This window comes from Homo sapiens, chromosome 19 (assembly GCF_000001405.40).
Source record: "Homo sapiens chromosome 19, GRCh38.p14 Primary Assembly".
Taxonomy (NCBI): domain Eukaryota; kingdom Metazoa; phylum Chordata; class Mammalia; order Primates; family Hominidae; genus Homo; species Homo sapiens.
Genome location: NC_000019.10, coordinates 54,030,933 through 54,039,780, shown reverse-complemented (window position 1 = coordinate 54,039,780; position 8,848 = coordinate 54,030,933). Strand labels below are relative to the sequence as shown.

General features: G+C 46.3%; 1 annotated feature.

The window, feature by feature from the left end:
* Positions 3,321 to 3,896: an enhancer, noted in NCBI's record as "OCT4-NANOG-H3K27ac hESC enhancer chr19:54539139-54539714 (GRCh37/hg19 assembly coordinates)". NCBI's record gives its function as "activates a minimal SCP1, AML or CMV promoter by ChIP-STARR-seq in primed H9 embryonic stem cells {active_cell/tissue: H9 hESC(primed)}" and the evidence as "EXISTENCE:reporter gene assay evidence [ECO:0000049][PMID:30033119]".

Here is an 8,848-nt window from a genome sequence, read left to right as displayed (position 1 = left end):
GTGGTGGCGCACACCTGTAATCCCAGCCACTTGGGAGGCTGAGGCAGAAGAATTGCTTGAACTCGGGAGGCAGAGGTTGCAGTGAGCCAAGATCACACCACTGTACTCCAGCCTGGGCGACAGAGAGAGACTCTGTCTCGAAAAGATAAAAAAAAAGATAAATGTTTGAGGTGGTGAATATCCTAAATACCCTAATTTGAGTATTATACATTCTGTGCATGTATCAAACTATCACATGTATGTCATAAATATGCATAAATATTATGTATCTATAGAAAGTTTTTTTTTTTTTGATGGAGTCTTGCTCTGTCGCCCAGGCGCCAGAGTGCAGTGGCGTGATCTCAGCTCGCTGCAACCTCTCCCCGCAGGTTCAAATGATTCTCCTGTCTCAGCCTCCTGAGTAGCTGGGATTACAAGCTTCTGCCATCACACCAGGCTAATTTTTTTGTATTTTTAGTAGAGATGGGGTTTCACCATGTTGGCCAGGCTGGTCTTGAGCTCCTGACCTCAAGTCATCCGCCTGCCTCGGCTTCCCATAGTGCTGGGATTACAGGCGTGAGCCACCGTGCCCAGCCCAGAAAGTTGTTTTAAAAACAAAAAATTTTATTTGCAAAAACAAGCTGTGGGCTCTAGCGTGCCAACCCTTGTGCTAGGCCAGTGCTTTTTAAAGTCTGCTTGGGCCATCACCCCAACCACTTCTGGCCCTGATGAGGGTCCAGGGCATGAGAGGGAAGGAGAGAGTGTCTTAGTCCATCCAGGCTGCTATCAACATACCAAAGACCTGGCAGCTTACAGACAACACATAGTTATTTCTCATGGTTCTGGAGGCTGGAAGTCCAAGACCAAAGCACTGGTAGATTCAGTGTCTGCTGAGGGCTTTTTTCCTGGTTCATAGCTGGCACCTTCTTGCTGTGTCCTTACATAGTGAAAGAGACTGGGCCGGGCGCAGTGGCTCACGCCTGTAATCTCAGGACTTTGGGAGACCGAGTGGGGGGCGGATCACCTGAGATCAGGAGTTCGAAACCAGCCTGACCAACACGGTGAAACCCCATCTCTACTAAAAATATAAAAATTAGCTGGGCGCAGTGGTGGGTGCCTGTCATCCCAGCTACTTGGGAGGCTGAGGCAGGAGAATTGCTTGCACCTGGGAGGCGGAGGTTGAAGTGAGCCGAAATCGTGCCACTGCACTCCAGCCTGAATGACAGAGCCAGACTCCATCTCAAAAAAAAAAAAAAAAAAAAGAGTGAAGGCTTAATAAGCAAAAGAAAGAGAAAAGAGAATAGTTCTCTCTTTTGCACAGAGAAGAGAGGGGTTCCCGAGTGGGACCCCTGGTTTTGTGGTGAAATGCATGGGGCTTTTATAGACAAGCTTGAGGAGGTGCTGTCTGATTTACATAGGGCCTGAGAGATTAGTCGGACCAGGTATGACGTTTGCATAGCCCCCAAAGAAGCTGGCCATCCCACCCTAATCTTTTATTACGTAGGTAGGGTCTCTGCCTGGCCGGGGCCATGTTGTCTGCTTTTTTACTGCACATGTGGGGACAAAGAAAAGGGAAGAGGGAACCTCCATGTTGAATATACCCGGCTCCCAGGCATCCGTTTTCTATTGGCACAGCTGATGCAAGATTTTAGCTTGTTTATCTATGCTTGCAGCTTGATGTTTCAGGCTGCTTTCTGTTAGAAAAGAAATTATTTGGGGGCTGCTCTTTATTAATAGGAAACCTTACTGAGGACTCTCTTACCCTCACTGTCTGCCTCAATAATTTCTTTTTAGCTCCCGTATTACAAATACCATCACCTTGGGGTTAGGTTCCAACAGCTGAATTTTGTCGGGACACAAACATTGAGTTTACAATACCCATGAAGCTGTCTCTGCTTGTATCTTGTCCTAACCAGAAGCTCCCAGGATTGCTGCATCTGAAGGAACAACCTTGATATATGGCTTGTGTCTGTGTCCCCACCCAAATCTCATCTTCAGTTGTAGCTCCCATAATTCCCATGTGTTGTGGGATGGACCCAGTGGGAGATAATTCAATCATGGGGGTGGATTCCTGCAGGGTCCTATGGGGCTTTGCAGGTGTTCTCCCCGTGTGCAGAGATAAGAGATTGTAAGAAATAAAGACACAAGACAAAGAGATAAAGAGAAAACAGCTGGGCCCGGAGGACCACAACCATCAAGACGCGGAGACCGGTAGTGGCCCATAACGGCTGGGCGCGCTGATACTTATTGCATACAAGATAAGGGGGCAGGGTAAGCAGGGTGAATCTTCGAAGTGATTGACAAGGTGAAGCAAGTCGTGTGATCACAGGAGAGGGGGCCCTTCCCTCTTAGGTAGCCGAAGCAGAGAGAGAGGGAGAAGGCAGCATACGTCAGCGTTTTCTTCCATGCACTTATAAGAAAGATCAAAGACTTTAAGACTTTCACTATTTCTTCTACCGCTATCTACTATGAACTTCAAAGAGGAGCCAGGAGTACGGGAGGAGCATGAAAGTGGACAAGGAGTGTGAGCACTGAAGCACAGCACCACAGGGAGGGGTTTAGGCCTCCGGATGACTGCGGGCAGGCCTGGATAATATCCAGCCTTCCACAAGAAGCTGGTGGAGCAGAGTGTTCCCTGACTCCTCCAAGGAAAGGAGACTCCCTTTCACCGTCTGCTAAGTAACGGGTGCCTTCCCAGACACTGGCGTTACCGCTTGACCAAGGACCCCTCAAGCGGCCCTGATGCACGCGTGACAGAGGGCTCACCTCTTGCCTTCTAGGTCACTTCTCACCATGTCCCTTCAGCACCTGACCCTATACCCGCCGGTTATTCCTAGGTTATATTAGTAATGCAGCAAAGAGTAATATTAAAAGCTAATGATTAATAATGTTTATAATAATGATTGATAATTGTCCATGATCATCTCTACATCTAATTTGTATTATGACTATTCTTATTCTATTTTCTTTATTATACTGCAACAGTTTGTGCCTTCAGTCTCTTGCCTCAGCACCTGGCTAATCCTCCACCCACACATTCCCCCATGCCGTTCTCATGGTAGTGAACAAGTCTCAGGAGAGCTGAGGTTTTTATAACGGGTTTCCCCTTTTGCTTGGCTCTCTCATTTCTCTGTCGTCTGCCACCATGTAAGATGTGCCTTTCACCTTCTGCCATGATTGTGAGGCCTCCCCAGCCATGTGGAACTGTAAGTCCGTTATACCTCTTTTTTAAAAAGTAAACTGACTGGGCGCAGTGGCTCACGCCTGTAATCCCAGCACTCTGGGAGGCCGAGGCGGGTGGATCATGAGGTCAGGAGATCGAGACCATCCTGGATAACACAGTGAAACCCCGTCTCTACTAAAAATACAAAAAATTAGCCGGGCGCGGTGGCGGGCGCCTGTAGTCCCAGCTACTCAGGAGGCTGAGGCAGGAGAATGGTGTGACCCCGGGAGGCGGAGCTTGCAGTGAGCGGAGATCGTGCCACTGCACTCCAGCCTGGGTGACAGAGTGCGTCTCAAAAAAATAAATAAATAAAAATAAAAATAAAAATAAATTACTCAGTCTCAGGTATGTCTTTATCAGCAGTGTGAAAACAGACTAACGCAAACTTCTTCGCTCCCCCTCCCCTCACTACACAGTCCCAGGTTGCAGTGTGGAGGCCACATAGGGAGTAGCAAGGTGGGGAGGAGTGTCTCTTTGTTTTCTTGCCACAGAGAGTCATTCTTTTTTAAGCTTGGGAGTTCTTGGTGGCCATCTGTCTCGCCATGTGGAGGAAGCCAGTCTTTATGGAGAAACACAAAGATGACTCAGGGAGCATCCGGGAAGCGGGAGTGAGTAACAGTGCTTTCAGCTTTTGTTTTCTTGGTTCTAATTGCTTCCAAAGCTCAGCATTCCTTCACTCCCTGCAGTTTTCTTGCCCAATCCTTCTTGAACCAAAAAAACCCAAAAAGTCCTCCTTTGATTCTAAGCTATTCTGAGAATGGATTTTGTTTTGATTGAAGGGTCCTGGCAAACATTATTAAAATGGGTGGCCCTAATGGATATCCTTTATGGACATCTATGCTGGTAGTCACACTCACTGAATTACCATAGTGAGGACTCAGCTCTGATTTTTTTTTTTTATCTTGCCCAGATTCTTATCTAAGGGGTCTGGGGTCTCATGCCCTACAAACCATAAATTCTCATCAGATGGGTTTTATTTAGCCCTATATATCGTGACTTACTTTCCAATCTGACTCTGGCATAACATTACCTAACAAAGAAGAAAATAAAAATATTTTACCCCAAAACATGTTTCTTTGCCATATTTTTAAATGGCCCTGCAAAGCTGTCCTTGGTGGGGGGGAATATTTGCATATGTAAAGGATCTCTGTTAACATTGCTAGATCTTTTTCCTCCAGGACCTCCCAATCCTGAGGAGGTTAACTGAGAATCTAGCAACTTTTGAAGGTCTGAGTAGGAAACATTTGTCATCTATTGTCTCTAAGGGCAGCCACTATAAGACTTCAAAAGAACCTTGGTCTCCACAATCTTTTATCTTAACCTGAATATTTCCTCTCTATTAATCCCAGGTCTTTAGACAAACTCAACCAATTGTCAACCAGAAAATGTTTTAATTTACCTAAAGCCTGGAAGGCCCTGCCTCCTTCAAATTGTCCAGCCTTTCTGGACCAAACCAATGTATTTCTCAAATGTGTTTGATTGATGCCTCACGCCTCCCTAAAATGTATAAAACCAAGCTGCCCCCCGACCACCTTGGGTACATGGTCTCAGGACCTCCTTAGGGCTGTGTCAGGGGCCATGGTCATTATCATATTTGGCTCAGAATAAATCTCTTCAAATATTTTATAGAGTTTGACTCTTTTTGTCAACAAGAGTAAGTCTTGATATGTGATACGATCTGAGGGAGGCTCGGATCCACAGCTGGGGTTTGGACAGCTGTAGCATCACCCTGGGAGCTCCCGCCCCAACTCGGAAGGGGCAGGGCTCCCTGCGGCTCCATAGCGTGTATAGCCCGGGCTGGGCCTCCCTGGGGCAGGTGGCGTCATGGCAGCAGCAAGCCGTCTGGAGTGGCTGCTGCCATCACCAAAGGCCCAACCTCTCAGATCACATTGGGTGTCAAGATTTAACATGAGGCCGGGCGCGGTGGCTCACGCCTGTAATCCCAGCACTTTGGGAGGCCGAGGTGGGTGGATCATGAGGTCAGGAGATCGAGACCATCCTGGCTAACATATCTCTACTATAAATACAAAAAATTAGCCAGGTGTGGTGGCGGGTGCCTGTAGTCTCAGCTACTCGGGAGGCTGAGGCAGGAAAATGGCATGAACCTGGGAGGCGGAGCTTGCAGTGAGCCGAGATCCATCATTGCACTCCAGCCTGGGTGACAGAGCAAGACTCTGTCTCAAAAAAAAAAAAAAAAAAAAAGATTTAATATGTGGCCAGGCGCGGTAGCTCACACCTGTAATCCCAACACTTTGGGAGGTCAAAGTGGGAGGATCATGGGGTCAAGAGATCGAGACCATCCTGGCCAATATGGTGAAACCCTGCCTCTACTAAAAATACAAAAATTAGCTGGGAATAGTGGCACACGCCTGTAGTCCCTGCTACTCAGGAGGCTGAGGCAGGAGAATTGCTTGAACCCAGGAGGCAGAGGTTGCAGTGAGCCGAGATCACACCATTGCACTCCAGCCTGGGCGACAGAGGGAAACTCTGTCTCAGAAAAAAAAATAGAAAAGATCTAACATATGAATCTGTGGAAAGCACCGCCATGCAGCACAGGCCCAGGATTTGAAGTAAACTGAAGAGGCTCAACACATGTGGAGGTGGCTTTGTAAATAACTTCAGGAAACTAACTGAGGGTCATGTACCAGCAGGAGCAACTTCATAAAGGGGCCATGGAGAACCTGAGTTCCTTGCTGTTAAAAAGGAATATATAAATCCTGTTAGTTCAGAGAAAGCACAGATCATCAGTCTGATGAGGATAGGGCTTAATTATGGGCTGAATTACATCTCCTCAAAATTCGTGTGCTGAATCCTAACTCCCAGTAACTCAGAATGTGACTGTATTTAGAGACAAGAGGCCGTTGTGAAAAAAGGAAATTTGGACATAAAAAAGACACTAGGGGCTACGTGTGGTGGCTCACGCCTGTAATTTCAGCACTTTGGGAAGCCCAGGTGGGCGGATCGCCTGAGGTCAGGAGTTCAAGACCAGCCTGGCCAACATGGCCAAACCCCATGTCTACTAAAAATACAAAAATTAGCTGGGCGCGGTGGTGCACGCCTGTAATCCCAGCTACTCGATAGGCTGAGGCAGGGGAATCGCTTGAATCCAGGAGGCAGAGGCTGCAGTGAGCTGAGATCGTGTCATTGCACTCCAGCTGGGCAACAGAGTAAGACTCCAACTCAAAAAAAAAAAAAAGAAAAGGACACCAGGATATGTACATCCAGAGGAAAGACCACGTGGAGACACAGCAAGAAGGCGGCCATCTGCATACAAAGCAGAGAGACCCCGGGAGAAACTGACCCTACTGGCACCTCCATCTTGGATTTCCAGCCTGCAGAACGGTGAGAAAATCCATTTCTGTCCCATAAGCCCCCCAGTGGGGGGCATTTTGTTATGGCTTCCCTAGCACACAACTGTAGGTGGTAAACATATTTTAAACATTATAGTGATCATTTGTAAAAAAAAAAAAAAAAAAAAATTCAAAGAAATATATTTTCTACAGCTTCTCTTTATGATACCCTATGTTCCAAAGGCTACCTATTGTATTTTCTAGAAGACTATAAGAATTTTTCACACATGCTGGGGCCTGTCAGAGGGTGGAGGGTGGTAGCAGAGAGAGGATCAGGAAAAATAACTAGTGGGTACTAGGCTTAATAACTGGGTGATAAAATAATCTGATAATCAGGAAGTAGTAAATACACTAGAAAAAAAATAATCTGTACAACAAACCCCCATGACACACGTTTACCCGTGTAACAAACCTGCACATCCTGCCCATGTACCCCTGAACTTAAATGTCAAAAAAAAAAAAAGAATTTTTCTAGTATCATGCCAGGCTCTGTGGTTCATGCCTGTAATCCCAGCACTTTGGGAGGCTGAGGCAAGTTGATTGCTTGAGCATAGGAGTTCGAGACCAGCCTGGGGAAAATGGTAAAACCCTGTCTATACTAAAAATACAAAAATTAGCTGAGCATGGTGGTGCATGCTTGTAGTCCGGGCTACTCTAGAGGCTGAGGCAGGAGGATCGCTGGAGCCCAGGAGGTGGAGGCTGCAGTGAGCCATCATTGCACCACTGCACTCCAGCCTGGGTGACAGAGTGAGACCCTGTCTCAAAAAAAAAAAAATCAATTTTTCTAGTGCTATACATTTAATTTTTTTTTCTGTTATGAACATTAGGTTTCTTTGCCTTATTGTTTCAAATTCTTTGGAAGCATTGTTCAATCAATCACATGAGCACAATAGTTGGTACAAAACAGTCATTATTTTGAAAGACCATCACCTGATATGAACAGTTCATTCATAAACTTGAGCCTTTTTTTGTTTTTGTTTTTGTTTTTGAGACAGAATCTTGCTCTGTTGCCCAGGCTGGCGTTCAGTGGCACGATCTCTGGTCACTGCAACCTCCACCTCCCAGGCTCAAGTGATTCTCCTGCCTCAGCCTCCCAAGTAGCTGGGATTACAGGTGCCTGCCACCACGTCCAGCTAATTATTTATTTATTTAATTTATTTTTTGAGACGGAGTTTCACTCTTGTCACCCAGGCTGGAGTGCAGTGGCACGATCTTGGCTCACTGAAACCTCCACCTCCTGGGTTCAAGCAATTCTCCTGCCTTAGCCTCCTGAGTAGCTGGGATTACAGGCGCCCACCACCATGCCGGGCTAATTTTTGTATTTTTCGTAGAGACGGGGTTTCACCATGTTAGCCAGGCTGGTCTCAATCTCCCAGCCTCAGGTGATCTGCCTGCCTCAGCTTCCCAAAGCACTGGGATTACAGGTGTGAGCCACCGTGCCTGGCTGAGTTTGTTTTGTTTTAAAGACCTCAGGGATGTACCTCTAATTGACACTACATCACATTAATCAATAGCTGCACTTTTTGCAAACTGTGGCTATGACAGTCCTGAACAAGAAGGGTTTCCTGCTTAAGCTGCAGTAACTTTTCTGACTATGGATCATTGTTCCTTCTGTGGCAGATTTTTACACCTCCTCTAATGCATTTGGGATGACTGTCTCCAAGTAACCTGCAGCTTTCCTCACTGTCTCTCCTGCTAAGAACTGTTGCCCTTTTCTGCTGTTTTTAGAACCTTCTGTTTTCATATCCACCAGTTCCACGGCCAGATCTATAACGACCACCAGAGGGACTGCCTGAGCTTCTTCCACCAAAACTGCCCCGCATAAACTTGAGCTTTTAAGCGGCATTATATATAAGCCCTATACGAGTTTAACTTGATCTTGTTAAGGTAAACAATCTGTTCAGTCTCACTTTCTTTTTGCATTGATAATTTTAATAATGTCTGATCATTTACTTTCTAAAATCACAAATGCAGTAGCAAGTTTTGGCCAGTTTCATTTTCTTAACTTTTCTCCTCCACATGGGACATGCTACGGGAAGAGGCTTAGAATCGTGGAAAGAGGAGAGTCATCTGCTTTCAGTGCTGGATACAAGGGCAGGTTGTGTGACCTTGGGAACACGTGTTAAAATCTCCAGAACTGCATGTGCCTTTCCTCATCGTGAAGACACAGATCTCGAATAGGGTTGTTGTAGATAGTATGACCAACTGTTACCGTTTTACCAGGATTGGTGTGTGCAGGGGCGTGTGTGTGTGTCTTAGGATGTGGGACTTTCGGTTTTAAAATAGAAATGAGGAA